The sequence below is a fragment of the Homo sapiens genome, chromosome 6, assembly GCF_000001405.40.
Source record: "Homo sapiens chromosome 6, GRCh38.p14 Primary Assembly".
Taxonomy (NCBI): Eukaryota; Metazoa; Chordata; class Mammalia; order Primates; family Hominidae; genus Homo; species Homo sapiens.
This window is the reverse complement of record NC_000006.12, coordinates 75,871,582-75,891,523: the sequence shown is the minus strand read 5'-3', so window position 1 is coordinate 75,891,523 and position 19,942 is coordinate 75,871,582. Positions and strand designations below refer to the sequence as shown.

Genomic DNA, 19,942 nt, shown 5'->3' with positions numbered 1-19,942 from the left:
ATTAGCTGGGGCTACAGGTGCCCACCACCATGTCCGGCTAATTTGTTTTCGTATAAGTAGAGATGGGGTTTCACCATGTTAGCCAGGATGGTCTTGATCTCCTGACCTCGTGATCCGCCCGCCTCGGCCTCCCAAAGAGCTGGGATTACAGGCATGAGCCACCACACCCAGCCTGTAGGTTCCATTTTAATAGAAATTCAACCCAGTAAGTACATACTTGAATGCGTTTTTCATCATCTTCCCTTTTCTTTCTCTCTTCTTCTTCTTGTTTTCTCTTTGCTTCCATCTCAAGTTTCCTAATAAAAAATAGAAAACTCTTCAAAAATTTAACAGAAAATAAAGAATCCTTCAGAAGGCAATTTAACTATTATTTAATAATAAACAAAGGTAACAGATTGGGAATGCAAATTAACCTCCTGGCCACATACATCAACTTATTTTGAATAAAATAAAATTTAACTCTATTGACAATAATTCTTAAATAAAACAAATATAATTATATTCTATAACTTTTAACATCTCTAGATGAATGTGGTTACAAAGCCTGGCTGTAAGGTCCTGATTAAAGGTGCTTCCCTCTAGTCCCTCTCCAAGTCAACAACTCATCTGTTCTCTCTACCCTATCATGGCAATCTTTCAAAATGTTATCAGTTTTAAAACTGCAGAAAAGTAGAAGTGTCATTTATCTAGCTTAGAAAACAATAAACAAATCATAGTTTTAAAAAGAAGAAAATCCTCAGGTGTAAGAGGCTAACAAATTCAGATTATAGTTAAAATTATTTTATGGTATCACTATTATAAAATGACCTTATTCTCTCAATTTTCAAACTTATTACAAAATTAGTTCATTAAAATAAGAACACAGTTTTAAGAATTGTCAACCGAGCACGGTGGCTCACGCCTGTAATCCAAGCGCTTTGGGAGGCCGAGGCGGGTGGATCCCCTGTGGTCAGGAGTTTGAGACCAGCCTGGCCAACATAGTGAAACCCCGTCTCCACTACAAATACAAAAATTAGCCAGGCGTGGTGGTGCGCACCTGTAATCCCAGCTACTCAGGAGGCTGAGGCAGGAAAATCGATTGAACCCGAGAGGCAGAGTGCAGTAAGCCAAGATCGCGCCACTGCACTCCAGCCTGGGCAACAGAGCAAGACCCTGTCACAAAAACAAAACAAAACAAATAATTGTCATTAACCACTGTCAATACCAAGAATTCACTATTTCTTTAAGTCTCTTATTCAAAATAATATAAATGCCTCACATCCGCCTTTCCTCCTCTTCCTTTCTTCGACGTTTTTCGTCTTCTTCACGTCTTTTTCTTTCCTTTTCCATTTCTTCTTGAATACGCCTCAGCCTTTCTGCTTCCTCTTCCTGCTGTTTTTTTTTCTGTAATGCACTGAGGAGTTCCTCTGAGCTTTTAACCAGTGCATCATATTCTTTCTGGATTTGTTCCTGCGTCATCATAGTGGACTTTAAAAAATAAAATAAATAGGTACGTAAAAGCTTATTTCTTCTGTTGCACAACAATGTGAATATACTTAACAATACTGAATTATAAACTGAAAAATGGCTAAGATAAATTTTAATGTTTTTATTGTTTTTTACAATTTAAAATAAAAAACTACTCCAATATGCAAATACAGCAAAAACTAGGTAAGATGGTAAGCAATACGTCCGTTATCTTTACTATACTGTTTGTACATTAAATACTATTCAAAAAATGTTTTATGTTATCTCTGCACACAAGTATTACACATCAATTAGACAGGTAATCTGTGGATAAGGTAATATACTGCAGTTAAAAATTATTTCTAGGCCGGGTGCAGTGGCTCACACCTATAATCCCAGCCCTTTGGGAGGCCAAGGTGGACAGATCACCTGAGGTCAGGAGTTCGAGACCAGCCTGGCCAACATAGTGAAACCCTGTCTCTTATAAAAATAAAATACAAAAATTAGCTGGGCATGGTGGTACACACCTGTAGTCCCAGCTACTCGGGAGGCTGAGGCAGGAGAATTGCTTGAACCCGGGAGGCGGAGGTTACAGTGAACCGAGATCATGCCACTGCACTCCAGACTGGGCAACAGAGCAAGCCTCTTATCTCAAAAAGAATTATTTCTTAAGTAATGATCAGCTAATTTAGCAATAGTTTACTACTATTTTAGAATAATGTTCAAATAGTACCTAGAGAATATTTTAAAAATTACAAAATATATCCAAAATTATTGGATTTCTAAAATTAGCCTTCAAAAAATGTGGGTGGGTTAATTTTAATTTATAATGATACCACATAAACAAAGATGGCCCTTGACAGATTTATAAAATCAGCTGAGTCTATTTATAGCATTTTCATTTTCCTCCAGATCTTTTTTTTCCTTTCTACCTCCAAGATTGCCATTGTTTACATAAAATATCTGCAGAAAATATAAAACGCTCACTTTAAGATATTCATTATATCCCACATACTTGCACTGACCTATGAAACTGAGAAAAAGCATTAAAACTCTAAAATATAATGAGAAGATATGAAATGTAATTAATGAAATATGAAATATAATTAACAAGCATATAGAAAAGTCTTCAACTCCACTAGTAATCAAATAAATAAAAATCAAAACAAAATAAGGGATCCCATTTTTTTCCTACAAAATTGGAGAGGAAATTGCTATTTTCACAAAATTAATTACATTATCGTATCTATGAAGATAATGTATTAACATGGACAAGTATATAACAATGGTAGAGATAGAAATTGAAATGTATATTATGATAAGAACTGTAAAAATGTATGCATAAAAGAGAATGTAAGGTAAAGTAAAAACAAGTAAAATTATACTGTAAAAATAACAGTAACTAACTGAATTTGTTAATGTGGAGGTATTAAGAGGTTTTTGGTGGTTTCTCCAATTTTTTTTTTTTTTTAGCCAGGGGTCTCACTGTCACCCAGGCTGGAGTGCAGTGGTGCAATCTCTGTTCACTGCAACCTCCATCTCCTAGGCTCAAGCAATCCTCTAACCTCAGCTTCCTTGGGACCTCAGGCTCATACCACCATGCCCAAATAATTTTTTGTATTTTTGGTGGAGACAGGTTTTGGCCATGTTGATCAGGTTGGTCTCTAACTCCTGAGCTCAGGTGATCCCTGCGCCTGGGCCTCCCAAAGTGCTGGGATTACAGGTGTGAGCCATCACATCTGGCCTCCAAATTTTTTATAGTATTATATTACTTTTATCATTTATTTATTTATTTTTAGACGTAGTCTCACTCTGTCGCTGAGGCAGGAGTGCAGTGGCACAATCTTGGCTCACTGCAACCTCTGCCTCCTGGGTTCAAGCAATTCTCCTGCCTCAAGTAGCTGGAACTACAGGCGCGTGCGATCACACCTGGCTAACTTTGGTATTTTCAGTAGAGACGGCGATTCACTATGTTGGCTGGGCTGGTCTCAACCTCCTGACCTCAAATAATCCGCCCACCTCGGCCTCCCAAAGTGCTGGGATTACAGGCAGGAGCCACCATGCCCCACCACTTTTATTTTTATTTATTTATTTTTTTTGAGACGGAGTCTTGCTCTGTCACCCAGGCTGGAGTGCAGTGGCGCGATCTCGGCTCACTGCAAGCTCCGCCCCCCCGGTTCACTCCATTCTCCTGCCTCAGCCTCCCAAGTAGCTGGGGCTACAGGTGCCCCCCATCACGCCTGGCTAATTTTTTTTTTTTGTATTTTTAGTAGAGACAAGGTTTCACCATGTTAGCCAGGATGGTCTCAATCTCCTGACCTTGTGATCCGCCTGCCTCGGCCTCCCAAAGTGCTGGGATTACAGGCGTGACCCACCGTGCCCGGCCATTTTCTTTTTGCTCCAACTTTAGTTTTCTTTTTTCATTTTTTTTTTTTTTTGAGATGGAGTCTCACTCTGTCACCAGGCTGGAGTGCAGTGGCACAATCTTGGCTCACTGCAATCTCCGCCTCCCAGGTTCAAGCGATTCTCCTGCCTCAGCCTCCCAAGCAGCTGGAATTACAGGTGCACGCCACCACACCCAGCTAGTTTTGTATTTTTAGTAGAGACAGGGTTTCACCATGTTGGCCATGATGGTCTCGATCTCCTGACCTCATGATCCGTCCGCCTCAGCATCCCAAAGTGCTGGGATTACAGGCATGAGCCACCATGTATGGCCTCCAACTTTTATTTTAATTTCAGGGATGCACGTGCAGGATGTGCAGGTTTGTTACACAGGTAAACGTGTGCCATGGTGGGTTTGATGCACAGATCATCCCATCACCTAGGTATTAAGTTGCGAGGGATATCTTTCTTAGCAACAGAAGAAATGGCATAAAAATTGTCTTCTTTAACTTTTTGCTATGAAATTTTTCAAACATAAAGAGTAGAGGTAATAATGATGAGCATGTACTTGCCATCATTGAGTCTCAACACATTTTGTAATTTTGAAAAACTAAGGACGTTTTCTATACAATTTCAATACCAATAACAAAATATATTAAATTACATAAAAAGTCAAAGTCATTCGGGTTGAAATTACATACCTTAATTTTGGCCATCAAAGTATCAATAGAAATTTCCAGATTCTTGATCTGTTTATTCATCTCGGGTTTTCCATCTTTCAACACACTGACTACCTCATTAAATTTATCAAGTCGTTTTTTCAGTGTGCCCACCTTAACCAGACCATCAATGCTGTAAAAATAATACTTCATTAGAGCTTAATTTCATCCTTTAGTACTTTTGGCAGATTTTTCATTTATAAAATGCTAAACAGGGTATTTCACTTCTGTTTTCAATATTATCTACTATTCTCTTTTTCAGATCTCTTGTTGAAGGCTAAAAAAAATCAAATATGAGTGTGAATGACACTGATGCCTGTCAATGGGATTAAAGCCTTCTACAACTTTGAGAATTCAAATCACAGAGGAAATTAATCTAGTCTCTTTGAAAAGGTGTGATGGATCAATAGAGATATTCAGACTTCCAATTTTTAAAAGTGTAAATTAAAAATGAAAGATTCAAATAAGAAATACACTAATTTATAATGGGACAATGTAATTCCTACAGATAATCTTGAAAATTATGTAAACATATTAGTGAGATGTTTTTTAAAAAATGTCACCTTGACATTATCAAGAAACTCAAATAACTAAAATAATCAGAATAAAAGAGCTTCTCTCAACTACTTACTTCTTGTTTTATAGTCTTTACACATTTTTGTATGCCACTTCAAATCCTTTTATAGAATGAGGCAAGTAATAAGGTAATAAATGAATTAACTAACTTCAAATAAATATTACAAATAAAAGACTAATACATCATTTTACAAAGAACATGAGAAAACCTGAGTATCCAAACTGCTTTTTATTATGACTTTATTGTCATTTTGTATTACAGTAACTAGGTTTTGTAGAGTTCTTTTTAGGAACTATTCATCTTACCGAGGTTTGTGTCTCCTCTTGCAAAGCCACATTCGAATAGTTTTTTGCATTTTAATGCAGGCTTCAGCTCGATATTTTATTTTGTTTTTCACTATGTGTAAGAGTAAAATAAAATGATAGAAAATTATTCAGTTTAAATCTAACATATATTAAAAAAACTCATTTTCACAAAGTAATGCTCAAGAAACATGAAATCTTGACGACCATATTATTATATATCAGACATCAAAAACAAAGTTTTAACACCTTTTTTGTTTGTTTTTGTTTTGACAGTCTCAACCCAGGCTGGAGTGCAATGGCATGATCTTGGCTCATTGCAACCTCCACCTCCCAGGTTCAAGAGATTCTCGGCCGGGCGCGGTGGCTCACGCCTGTAATCCCAGCACTTCGGGAGGCCAAGGCGGGCGGATCGTAGGGTCGGGAGATTGAGACCATCCTGGCTAACACGGTGAAACCCCGTCTCTACTAAAAATACAAAAAATTAGCCAGGCATGGTGGCGGGCGCCTGTAATCCCAGCTATGGGAGGCTGAGGCAGGAGAATGGCGTGAACCCGGGAGGCGGAGCTTGCGGTGAGCTGAGATCGTGCCACTGCACTCCGGCCTGGGTGACACAGCAAGACTCCATCTCAAAAAAAAAAAAAAGAGATTCTCATGCCTCAGCCTCCTGAGTAGGTGAGGTGGGACTACAGGCACACACCATGCTGGGCTAATTTGTGTATTTTTATTCGAGCCAGGGTTTTGCCATGTCGGCCAGGCTGGTCTTGAATTCCTGACCTCAAGTGATCCTCCCACCTCAGCCTCCCAAAGTGCTAGGATTACAGGCGTGAGCCACCACGCCCAGCCAGTTTTAACATTTCTATAATTTCTTATTCTTCTTAAAAATAAAAAGATGTTGAAAGATGTAATTTTGCCTTTGCAAAAATTACAACCAAGGAAATTATGTAAAAGAGATCTGACCTAACCAACTCCATCTTGCTTCTAACCTCTAAGCTGTCCTTGTTCATTCCTGGGTGTAGGCCGAACTAATCTTGGGAAAGAACTTAGTTTATTAAAGTTTAACTTTGAAACAAACATGATAATAACCCTTTCCCAAAATAAACCCCCTTCTTGCCTGGGGAACCAGTCAGCCTTTGTAGGACTAACAAATTAGCTCCAAGATTAGAAATTACGGTTTAGGAGCCACACAGCCTCCAGCTGCATGAATCTGAACCTCCTCAAATTGCTCCCAGGTATAACATCACAGTTGTAACACCTAAAATCAGTGCTCCAGATATTTTGCAGACCTTCCAATGCACCAGCTGATGCCACCTAGATAGGTAATCCGGCCCAGCCAGTTCTGTGCTCCCACACAGGAACAGAAGCAAGCAAGAAAAACTCAATTTTGACCCCCTATGATTTCATCTCCAACCCAAGCCCCTACCTACCAAATTATCCTTAAAAATTCAGATCTCCGAGTTTTCAGAGAGACTGATTTGAGTAATCATAAAACTCCAGTGTCCCGTACAGCCGACTCTACATTAATTACTGTCTCTCTACTGCAATTCCTATCTTGATAAATCAGCTCTGTCTGGGTAGTGGGCAAGGAGAACCCACTGGGCAGTTACAATATCATGTATCTGGTTAGGCTTACATTTTAAATGCATTATTTCCTTAGTATGCTACACTGCTACCTCCCAAACTGTCTTAGGCAACATTTGTTCTATGAAATGTGAATAGGTATGTCCTGAAAAAAGGATTTACCTGTCAAATGAGTTTATGAAAAGCTGTACACTATACTTCTGTATGGAGGTTCACAATGAACATACTGAGTGAAGCCTCTGAGAATCCTACAGCAAAGAAATCTACTTAACTTCAGTTACTCACAATTTCCTAGGATGATCTGACCTTGAACTTTTTTTTCAGAGTTTCCTATTAACATTCTGCAAAGATCCCTGCCCGGTTACTGACTTCGGTACCACTGTAGAACACAGTCCACAAATGAATGGTGTAACAGATGAGTTTACTATAATGTGTTTCCTATCATAATGCAATGTGTAAAGCTGAACGTATTAAACTACAGTAATAAAGATGTTTCTGTATTTTATTTGGAAAATGATGGGGAAAAGATTCTGCTATCTTTTTTCTTTTTATATTAATAGTTCTCTTTTTATCTATATTCACAATTGTCTAACAAAATACCTCAAAAATAATCTTTGTTAGCATGATTCTTTTTCATTAGGCCAAAAGAATTTTCCTTTTCTACTGATAAGGAAAAATTCGCTGGATCCTTTTCATGTACCTAGCACTATTTCAGGTACTCTGATGAGTATAAGGGGCAACTGTAAATGTAATCAAGTTACTGATTCCTACACAGCTCCCAACAATTAAAGGTTTGCCACAGATCCTTAGGTAACCCCAAAATGTTCTGTCCCTCACTTTTGTCTTGGGCCAGCTATGTAGCTGCTATGACCTGGCCAAACCACACATAAAAGCAGCTTAGCCCAGTATGTCAAAGGGGTTTGAATTCCTAATCCCAAAAGCCATAATCCCAAATGTTGAAATCCCAAAAGATCAAAATTCCTAGATTAAAATCCCTAACATCAAAAATCCTAAAAATCCCAATCAGAGGAATCACAGAAGAATTCCAAAAAGAGCAATCTCATGAAGAAAATGAATATGAACATATTCTCCAAGAACCATGTCCTAAAAGAAAAAAAGCACCTATTATTCGTGGTACAAGACTTCAAAATATAGTTAATGACTGAGAAAGACAGCCAGCTCTATGGACTATCTCCATGCAACTGCCTATAATCTGTCCCTGTGATACACTTTTTTTTATGTCAAACTTCCTTTTTAGTTTTGGGTGTTTTTTTTTTCTTTGTTTTTATTTTCACTATCTTAAATTGTTAGCATTTTTTAATTATGTAGAAATTTTTGGAGAGTTCTAATTTACTGTATTCATTTTTTGCAAATTTAACTCCATGAAAATGCATTACCACAACATTTACTTTCTGGGTAAACATTGTGTATGTATATAAAAACACTGAAACTTAATCAATGAACAGATGTCCTTTATCATACATCTGCACTTGTAAAAGATAAAATTTCTCAAGATTTCAGTTCTCTGGGCAACTACAAATGCAGTGGTGACTCACTATGGTTTTTGACTGATCTCATCAAAAGACAGCTTGTTCATCATCACAGTATTTCAGATGACTGCAGTAACAAAGCTGGGTGCACAATTACCAACCACAATAATATGTGTTTATGCATTTCACCTTTCGCCCTATTCTTTATGAATACGGTTTGTCTGCTCCTGTTATACCCATGCAACTATTGTTAGTATATGTGTTTATAGTTTCAATAAACATATATGTTTATTGCCTATATATATGTTATTGCCTATTTTATTGTGAAAAGTGGCCTATGAAGAGTTCTGTCATGTTTTTATACGTTTCTCAAATCCCCTTTTTAAAATGTAAATAAATATCTTTTTTTATTATTTTTACAGAATCCTAGTTTTGGGACTTTCATCTTTTAAGATTTCAACATTTGGGATTATGGTGTTCAAGACAGTGTCTTTCAGGATTATGACAGACTTCCGTTCAAAAAACAGGATTTAAGAGGGGATGGTGGGGGAAGAGACTGAAACAAAAAACTGACACACCATTTTACATGATCTTGAAAGACATCAAATAATTTAGACTTCACCTTTTATGAAAGGAAAGTTATAAAAGGCTTCTAGTTTAGAGAGATATCTCTAAGAAACCAGGAAAACCAGTCTGGGAGCTAATGGAATTATTATGCAAAAGGTGGAAAAGGACTTCACTAAGGCACTGGCAAGAAAAAGAAAGGAATGTACAGTATTTGGAGAAGGAATCAACAGGATCTGGTGACTGACAATATTTCAGGGATAAGAAAGGAAAATCAATTACAATTAGAATTTTCGGGGTATGTGTATTGTAGATGCCATGCAGGCAGAAAGAAAAGTTCTGGTTTAAGTCTGAGAGATTAGGGGATGGTGAGGGGTGCGGGGACGAGAGATCAAGATAGTGAATTCTGTTTTGTTAGGACACTATGAAACTGACACTCTTATAACACATTTGAATAAAGAAAATAAATATCATACACTCAAAAAATAAAAAAAGAAAGAACATCTACAAATAGGAACCTGGGACCCAGTGTGAACAAGTCTCAGTCTCTGTTGCTCAGCATCACCTCTGAGACAGCTTTACAACACTCCACAAACCATCTTGAAACAATGAAAGATCCTATAGGTGTAAAGGAAAACACCTACATTTGATGACTGAGAGTGAGCACCACTGAACTTTCTTCCAGCGACTGCATGTGAGCCAGTGATTGACTCTTTTAACCAACTCTGCTAAGTGGTCAGGGTCAGACTTCATGATCTGATCAAATTCTGCAAACTAGGAAGTGAAATAATTTAGTATCAGTATTAAAATATAAATGCATTTGAACACATAAAGACATGATGTAAACAGAATTCAAATCCAAAATCTAACTGTCTGAAAATGGTCACATGTCAATTACATAGGCCTTGGCAGAGAATACAACAAACACAAACACACTTGGCCACGTTTTGCTTCCTTTCTTTCTTCAGGAGCTTTTTTGGAGGTAAGGAGGTTACTTAATGCTAGGTAGCATATTCAATAACAAAAGTGGGGGGGGGGGATGACTTTTAAATTACAGATGGCTAGCGAGAAGACTTTATTAAGAAAAGAATGAAAAAGGACTACTGTATCTCTGAATTGGCTCACCCACATTCTCAGATATCCTTATGGAGCTTTTGATAAGTGCATATTAGCTATATAATACCAGGTACCGCCAAAATTATTCTGTCTCTCCTAACTCCCATTACCCACCCCCAACCTTTTTTGCAGTGGCGCAATCTTGGTTCACTGCAGCCTCAACTTCCCAGGCTCAGGCAATCCTCCCCACCTCAGCCACCCAAGTAGCTGAGATTACAGGCACGCACCACCACACCCGGCTAATTTTTGTATTTTTTTGTAGAGATGAGGTTTTGCCATGTTGCCCAAGCTGGTCTCAAACTCCTGGAACCAAGCAATCCCACTGCTTCAGCCTCCCAAAGTGCTGGGATTATAGGCGTGAGCCACAGCGCCCAACCCCCATTTCCATTTTAAACAGAGATGAGAAATTTTTGCTACTAAGTGACAGACAACACAAATAAAACAGCTAGTAGGTTCTTAACTAATAAAATACATTATTTCCACTATATACCACAAAATTCCATAATGATTTCAATCCTTTACCAAATAACCCACTATAATATTAAGAATGTCAAAAACCCATCAACCAATATAACGGCTTCTTATAGTCAAAATTAAATTAAAGGTAACATAACGAGAGAAAAGATATTTAAATCTTTGTCTTAAGCTTTCAATAAATATTTCTAATTTTTCAGGAGTTTAAACAAGAAAAAGTGCTTTCTCTATGAGACTATTAGTTCTCAAATAATTATTAAAGCTCTAAGACAAGATTGTCCACGCTGTAGTCCATGGGCCACATGTGGCCCAGGACAGCTTTGAATGAGGCCCAACACAAACTCATAAACTTTCTTAAAACATTATGAGATTTTTATTGCAATTGTTTTGTTTATTTAGCTCATCAGCTATCATTAGTGTTGGTGTATTTTATGTGTGGCCCAGGACAACTGTTCTTCTTCCAATGTGGCTCAGGGAAGCCAAAAGACTGGACACCTGTGCTCTAAAATAAATGGGGAGTTTAGAATAAATATGTATGAGTAAAGCTAAACAAATTATGAACATTATATATAATTATCTTCCTCTCAACTTTTTTTTCTTTTCTGAGAAATGGTATGGAAAATAGCAATTCATGTTGTTAGTGACCATATAATTCAAGAATAATACAAATTATTAAATACTTTAAGATATTCACTAACCCCAACTATTTGTTTTCATGATGTTACAGTTTAAAGTAAAAAATGTATATTTACCTTGCCAGGTCTAAAAAATACTTTGGTTAACCCAAACTTGTAGTCATTTTCATTTAAGCCCAAAGCTTTAAACAAAGCCTGAAAAATAAAAGTTAAAAAGTTAAATGTCAATTATTAATAGAAAAGACAAGTTCATAGCTAAGAAATTTCAATTTGGGTGGCATTTATACCTTACAAAATAGTCTTGGATCCAATCTTGCAAGTTTATCTGGCATATACTTTTTGTACATGTTGTAGAGTTCATGAAATGAAGCTCGTGATGGGTAACCACCCTGCATCAAGTCCAAAACAGACACCATCCCTAGATTCACGAACAAGCACAAAGCACTGTCAATCACTGTTCGGAAGTCCAAAATAATTTGTGAATGATCATTTTTGTAAGATACTGTTTAGAAACGGGCAATTTATGAGAATTATCAGCAACTAAATATTATATAGGAAAATATTTATGCTCATTATGTCCCAACTTATCCACCACCTAAAACTACTATAGTCAAATTTCCTGTAAACCCAATAAGACTCTTTTCTAGAGGCAAATTATTGGTCTCTAGACAGATCAAGTCTAACTGGGTGCAGTGGCTCATGCCTATAATCCCAGTACTTTGGGAGGCCACGCCAGGCAAACTGCTTGAGCCTAGGAGTTCAAGACCAGCCTGGGCAACATGGCAAAACCCCATCTCTACAAAAAAAAAAAAAAAAAATAGAGAAATCAGCCAGGCATGCTAGTGCATGCCTGCAGTCTCAGCTACTCAGGGGGCTGAGACAGGAGGATCATCTGAGCCAAAGGAGGTGGAGGCTGCAGTGAGCCTTGCAGGACACTGTATTCCAGCCTGGGTGACAAAGTGAGACACTGTATCAAAACAAAACAAAACAAAACTAAGGAAAGATCAAGTCTAGTTTGTATCTTTTTTTCTGTTAGAAGACTCTGTGTCACAAACACAGTATATAAGGCAAAGCCCTGCATTAAACCACTTTCAAAGGCCTGAGGTGAATTTTAGAACAAAATTCCTGAAAGAAACTCCAAAAAGTAGATACATTCCCAAGTTATCATCAGTGCATAAGGCAAATGGAAAAGAAAGAAGAGCTCACTGTTTCACTATAAAGACTGCCTTTCACTCACTTCTCAAAGCAACTAGACTACTGGGATGATTAGTCTATTGGATAAATATCTATTTTCAGTATAACTCTAGTAAGTGGTTAATCTGAGTCTTGAGTCAATGTGAGCTTTTCAGGTCAGAAAAAGTGTGAGATAGGCAGGGAAAGGCTGAGCTATAAGTGATGCCAGGACTTTTATTTACAAGACCTAGATTTCAGTCTCTGGGACTATTCAAATCAACGGAGAAAGTAAGATTATTCAATAAATAGTATTATGACAAACGGCAAGCCATTTGGAAAACAAAAACAACACTAGATCCTTGTCTCACTTCTTACACCAAAATAAATTCCTGCTAGCCAAAAATTTAAATTAAAACAAACTCTAAGACTTTTTAAACCAGTGAATTTTTATTTTAAAGTAATCTCACAGGAAAGATGGCCTTTACAGACAGTCAGATTGAATTTTAACCCATTTGACTGGCAAAGGTATAAGATAACAACTAGTACTCAGAGCTGATGACAGTGTAGGAAAACACACAGATGCATTCTTAGCAGAAAAGTAAGCCAGTGTAACAATTTTGGATGGCAATTTGGAAATATCCCTTTGGCTCGGTAAATCTATTCTATGATTTTTCACACTTGTGGGCAAAGATATGCATGTGGACAATGTCCAGATGTCCTCTGGGTCACTGTTGGTAATAGAAAAAAAACCAGAAAAAAACTAAAATCTCAATTGATTATGTTACAACCATATGATGGGATATGACATATTTAAAAGAATAAAGCAGAGCTTAATCTAACCAGCATAAAAAATATACCCAAGACGTAGAGTTAAGTGGTCACCCCTAAGAGCTGAGATTTCTTGTTACTTATATTATTCTGTACTATTTAATTTCTGTTACTGTGAATTTTCAATATTAATTAATGAAACACATTAAAGAAATCATTCGTATGGGGAAAAAAAATCTCCAGAACTAGATTTAGCTCTAGGCTTTGCTTGGAGAAAGAAAAGTAAAGTTTGGTTAGTATCATCACAGTTTTTGCCCACTTGTATCAAATAAACAAGTACCTTTGGAAATGTATGCATCTAAGTCTCCTGGCTTGCCCTGTAGCTGCAAACTATAAACTGGCTCACAGTTCATTAAGAATTTCATGGTGCTTAACAAATTACCAAGCCTACAACTGCTTTCTCAGCACTTGCAGCTAGTTTACTCTTAAGATGTTTTGAAGCTTAAATTTTTTTTTTAACCACTAAGGCAAATACTCTGCCTTCTAAACATTTCCATGAACTGGCTTTTACTCTTGGAGTTTGATGAGTGGCTTCTCGGTGCAGAGCTGGCACCCCTCTTTGCTACAAGACAGGCAGCACAGCCCCAAGGTTACAGAAGAAGAAAACTTGCCTTCTTTCACCTTCCCCTACTTTGCCCTGGTATTTGCCAATCAGAAGATAGTAATTTTAGGCCGGGCATGGTGGCTCACGCCTGCAATCCCAGCACTTCAGGAGGCCGAGGCAAACAGATCATTTGAGCTCAGGAGTTCGACACCAGCCTGGCCAACATGGTGAAATTCAGTCTCTTCTAAAAATACAAGAATTAGCCGGGTGTGGTGGTGGGCGCCTGTAATCCCACCTACTGGGGAGGCTGAGGCAGGATAATCACTTGAACCCAGAAGGCAGAGGTTGCAGTCAGCCAAGATTGTACCACTGCACTCCAGCCTGGGCGACAGAGTGAGACTCTGTCTCAAAAAAAAAAAAGACGAGGCGCGGTGGCTCATGCCTGTAATCCCAGCACTTTGGGAGGCCGAGGCAGGCGGATCACCTGAGGTCAGGAGTTTGAGACCAGCCTCAACATGGAGAAAGCCCATCTCTACTAAAAATACAAAATTAGCCAGCATGGTGGTGCATGCCTATAATCCCAGCTACTTGGGAGGCTGAGGCAGGAGAATTGCTTGAACCTGGGAGGCGGAGCTTACGGTGGTGAGCCAAGAGCGCACCATTGCACTCCAGCCTAGGCAACAAGAGCGAAACTCCGTCTCAAAAAAAAAAATAGTAATTTTAGTAAAAGGTGACTTAAATTTATTAATTCTCTTTAAAATGAAAATGGAAAGTTAAAGTACAATTCAAATCTTAAATATCTTTATTTTAGAAAGCTTCGTAAATATTTTTATTTCTACAACTTATGGATTTTTGCATTTTCTCATCACCTAGCTACATGACTGGAACAAATTCTATATCATTATCATTATTACTATTATGATATCTATTATTGATACTTAAAAAAATCAAAGTATAATGAATTGGTATTATCTGTTAAAGTGCCAACATGTCTTAAGATGTTGAAATATACTGCTTATTGAAAGAGGAATCCTAGCTAAAGCATTCATCAGTAGCCTATACCCTCTCCACTAATCTGATAGCATATATAGCTAAATCTAAACAGGTGCAACTTGCCAGGACACTAGGTGTTCACTTAGGAAATAAAGAGGAATTCCAATGGGGAAAAAAATGGACTTGAATATTACAAAAATACATCTCTACTTTATGGAAGAATACAACAGACATGAATTACTTAATTTTCCAGTATTTGTTAGCATTAGTCACAAATAAATCTTCATATTTTCTACACTGTTCATTCCATTCAACAAATATTTACTGAGTCTAGTATATGCCAGGGAAATAGGAATGTATGTGTAAGCCAAAACAGATGCAGTTCCCACCCTCATGGGGCTTATGGAATAAAGGAGGGAAAAATAAAATAATTATACAAATATGTATAAAATTTGTAACTACAACTGTGAAATAAAGGCACTTGAGCTCAGCACCCCAAATTCAGGCTCCCCTCCATGTCAGGAATATCAAGAAAAGCTTTCATATGAAGTGATGACAGAGCTGAGATGTGAAAGATAAAGGAAAAAGTATAGCAAGAACATCCCAAACAGAGGAGGCAGCATGTGCACAGGTCCTGTGCTGGGAGGAAATATGCAGCATTTAGGGAATGAAAATGAAAGTCAGGGTGACTGAAGGAGAGAAGGGAGGGAGAGAGTGTAAACAAATGAAGCTAGGGACACACGGGCCAGGCTCTATGGGACCTCTTCACCCTAATACTCATCTGAAGCCATTAGAGCATTTTAAGCAGTAAAAGGACATGATGATTAGAGATGAGTTGTGGAGTGATAATTCTGGATGCATGTGAAAAACAGACTGAAGAGATAGGAGAATACTTAGGAAGCTACAGCAAAAATCCAGGTAAGAGATGGTGACAGCTTGGATTAGAGACTATCAGGACTCACTATTTAGAAGGTTACAATAGCAGAACTGGGGAGCCTACCTAAGGGAATACACATCTGTGCTGTTCAACTTGGCAGTCACTAGCCACATGCTCTACAGCGGGACTAGCCACATAAGACTACTTAAATTTAAATTTTTAAAAATTAAAATTAAGGCCAGGCATGGCAGCTCATGCCTATAATCCCATCACTTTGGAAGGCTGAGGGAGGAGGATCACTTGAGCCCAGGAGTTTGAGACCAGGAGACCAGCATGAGCAACACAGTGAGATCCTGTCTGTACAAAAAAAATTTTTTTTAATTAGCTGGGCGTGGTGGCACATGCCTCTAGTTCCAGCTACTTGAGAGGCTGAAGCAGAAGGATCACTTGAGCCTGGGAGGTTGAGGCTGCAGTGAGCCATGATTGTGCCACTGCACTCCAGCCTGGGTAACAGAATAAACCCTGCCCCTCCCAACCAAAAAAAAATTTTTAATTAAACAAAATTTAAAATTTAGTAACTCACTCATTCTTAGCCACATTTCAAGTACTTAGGAGTCAAATGTGTCTCATGGCTACTAAACTGACAGATATGGAAAATCTCCATCATCATGTAAAGGTCTTCTGGACAGTACTGACATAGAATGAGAAGAAAAAGAGGCCTAACTTAAATCCTGAAAAATGATAACATATGTCCAGGTAGAAGAAAATGAGCCTGCAGGGGAATCAGGAATGGTCAGAGAATTCAAAAGAAAAGCAGGGGCATACGCCATGTCAGGAACCAAGAAAAGGATATGTTAAAAGGGTTGGCCAGAGTCAAATGTGGCTATGAAGTCCACTAAAATAAGGACTGCAAAAGGGACATTTGCTTCAGAACAAGGCAATCACTGGTGACCTCATCAAGGTGGGAGCTAAATTATCCTGGAGTTAAAGAGTAAGTAGAATGCATGAAACTGAAAAAGCAACAATAACCTATTCTTGGAGAGAAAAGGAACTGGAGAAAAATAAGGAGGAAGAGGTAGCTGTAAGAGAAATGTGGCTTAGAGATGAGATTTCAGCATGTTTAAATGGTAATGGGAAAGATCCATCTGAAAGGGAATAGTATGACAAACATAAACAATGCTGAAGATCCATGAAAAACTAGGAAGAGATGGCTTTCAAAGAACTATAAGCCTCAACCAGGCAGAGAGGCAACCCCTACTTTCTCAACAAGAGGGAAGGTTAAGTGGTAGGCAGAAGTGCTTGATAGCAGACAAGAGAAGCTTTAGGATATTTAGTTAAGGAGGTAAGCCCATCTGACAGCAGAGGCGCAGAGATTTGAGGAAAGCAGGATGGGTCTGACCAGTCTCTGATGAGAAACAGAACATGCTGACCAGGAAAACTTGGCAGGACAGGTTTGAGAGCCCTTTAAAGATAATGACGATGAATTTAACTGGTGCCATCCTGTCTTGTCTACCAACCCTGTGCAGACAATAAGAAAGAACAGAATTAGATTTCTCAATAGCTATGGTTTTGTGAGAGAGGTCAAGGGTAGATCTAGATTTGTGAGGCGGGGGCTGAAGCTTATATAGTTGGGGAGAGGCCTTTAGCGAAGCAGAAAATTACATGCAGGGCTTTGGAAGGGGTTTATTTAAATGAAGGACCCTGAAGCTTAAGTAATCTTAGCTTCATAGTAAATCTACCTCTCAAAAGAGCAAAATAAGGAGTCAGAGAAGAAAGTTTAAGGAAGTGTCAGGAAGCTGAGTTGGATCAAAAGGTAAACAAGAAAGGAGAAGGCTGATACCTTGGGAAAAATTAGGGGTAGTGTTGGTGAGAAGGGAGGATGGGCAAGGCATAAAGCAAACAGAGCAAGCCTGGTGCCTGAGCAAGGTCAGACATGGCAGGGTGAGGGGTAGGAAGTGATAGTTTAAGCAAATGGATGAAGTGTCACAGATGCAGAGGGAATCGTGTTTCATTTTCTTTACAAGTCGTGGAGTGGGAAGAAAGGACAACAAAACCTACCTTCTGACCATCATGTGTGGAATGAGAAATGAACTACTGCTGGATTGAGAAAGCTGCCCACTTAAGGAAGATCCAGTTTTGCTGTTAGAGAGTTTTCATAAATGTTTAATGTGAAATTGTTTATTTCACAATAAACAACATCTCAATATTGCTCAAATAATTTGCCATCTATGCTTTTCTTTTCTTTTCTTTTCTAAAACAGATCTTGCTATGTTGCCCAGGCTGACTTTGAACTCAGGCTGAAACAGTCCTCTTGCCTCAGCCACCCAAGTAGCTGGGACTACAGGTGTACACCACCACATGTGGCTCTATACTTTTCTTATAATTAAAGAAAATATAAGATGAAAATTTTATTGCACTGTAAAATAATCAAGATAATGGTGAATTATTTGAAAATACTGAACCTATTAAATTGTATTTGAGCTATGACTACTAACACACACTGACAGAGATTATGAAAATACCTGAACACTGAAGCTGAGACAGAATTTGAGCACCTTCAAAGTGGTGGCTTGTCATCTTTAAGTTAGGTTTGATGCAACGAATAAAGCTTGCTCCCTAGGAAAATAAAGGTACTTTTTGTTACAATACATATAGCATTCTTAGTTTTCTGTTTCTATGAATACCTGCAACTTTCAAAGCATATTAACATTAACATATGAACCTGTAAAAGTAATTACTAAAGAACTCAAGGCTGGGAGCAGTGGCTCATGCCTGTAATCCAGCATTTTGGGAGGCTGAAATGAGCAGATCACCTGAGGTCAGGAGTTCAAGACCAGCTTGGCCAACATGGTGAAACCCCATCTCTACTAAAAATACAAAAATTAGCCAGGCATGGTGGTGGGCAATCCCAGCTACTTGGGAGGCTGAGGCAGGAGAACCACTTGAACCCAGGAGGTGGAGGTTGCAGTGAGCTGAGATCACGCCACTGCACTCCAGCCTGGGTGACAGAGTGAGACTCCGTCAAAAAAAAAAAAAACTCAAAATTTTACAAGCATACTTTTTCTGCTTTAAAGCTTACAATGACTTTTTGAATTACTAATTAATAATATTACAAAAATACTACATTTTAGATTTGAATGTCAAAAACTGTAAAAAGAGAAGTCTTTCACTGTAAAGTTTAACACATTTAATTGTTTAACATATTTAAACAACACACTTTGCAGGCTGATGTACATGTGATTTTTTTCTATATTTAAATGTATTTATGTATGCCATATTTCTATGATAAGGAAATTTCCCTATGACAAAAGGAGTAAATAAAATTATGCCCCTTAAGACTTAGGCCAAAGTGTAAAAGAAAACAAAACAATATTTTCAATCATTCTATTTCAAAAACATACAGTAGGTCCCTAAGCTGCACTGTTGTACATTTTAACATTTGTTTGTCAAACAATATTTTTTAAAGCTTAAAGGCATTCATTTGGAATCAATTATCAGATTATGCTGAATGAGGTAGAAAGAATACTGATTATGTATACAATGAAACGTATTGTTGAGTACTGAAGCTAATAGACATCCAAATAACTGTTTCTCTTCAAAGTAGTTACCTTGCAAATAATTATTTCAACAATGAAGCTCCCTACAAACACTTTTATTTATTTATTCATTTATTTTTATTTTTATTTTTATTTTTGAGAGAGAGTCTCATTCTGTCAACCAGGTTGGAGTGCAGTGGCGTGATCTTGGCTCACTGCAACCTCCGCCTCCTGGGTTCAAGTGATTCTTCTGCCTCAGCCTCCCAAGTAGCTAGGATTACAAGTGCGCCCCACCATGCCCAGCTAATTTTTGTATTTTTTTAGCAGAGACGAGGTTTCACCATATTGGGCAGGCTGGTCTCAAACTCCTGACCTCAGGTGATCCACCTGCCTCAGCCTTCCCAAAGTGCTGGGGATTACAAGCATAAGCCATGGCACCCGGCCCACAGACACTTCTAGAACACGTTTTAGAAATGCTTTTTTTTCTATAAATCACAAAGTAATCTCATAATTTTAGAGCAGCACCCTATCTAAGAAATAAAAATACTCTCTTCATCAGATTTGGTTTTTAAATATACATGGCCTTAAGAGATAGATATTTGCAGCCAAAGAGGATATTAAAAAGATTTTTAATGGTTCCAAAAATTAATCTAACAGTAAGTTAAGCAACAATAATACTGATATAATAAATGTCTAGCTATTCAA

The 19,942-nt window shown here is 38.0% G+C and overlaps 1 protein-coding gene across 14 annotated transcripts in view; it reads right to left on the bottom strand.

The window, feature by feature from the left end:
• MYO6 (myosin VI) overlaps positions 1–19,942 on the bottom strand; it is a 170,299-nt gene that overhangs the window by 28,014 nt on the left and 122,343 nt on the right. For all 14 annotated transcript variants that reach the window (NR_160538.1, NM_001368865.1, NM_001368866.1 and 11 more), the window contains 8 exons: positions 18,224–18,317; positions 11,574–11,704; positions 11,404–11,481; positions 9,706–9,835; positions 5,430–5,520; positions 4,530–4,680; positions 1,259–1,467; positions 218–296 (listed from right to left, as the gene is read on the bottom strand). Coding sequence is in view for 13 of the 14 variants with exons in the window: in NM_001368865.1 (NP_001355794.1) it covers positions 218–296; positions 1,259–1,467; positions 4,530–4,680; positions 5,430–5,520; positions 9,706–9,835; positions 11,404–11,481; positions 11,574–11,704; positions 18,224–18,317 (963 nt within the window). In the remaining variant the exon portion in view is untranslated. The remainder of the gene's footprint in view (positions 1–217; positions 297–1,258; positions 1,468–4,529; positions 4,681–5,429; positions 5,521–9,705; positions 9,836–11,403; positions 11,482–11,573; positions 11,705–18,223; positions 18,318–19,942) is intronic.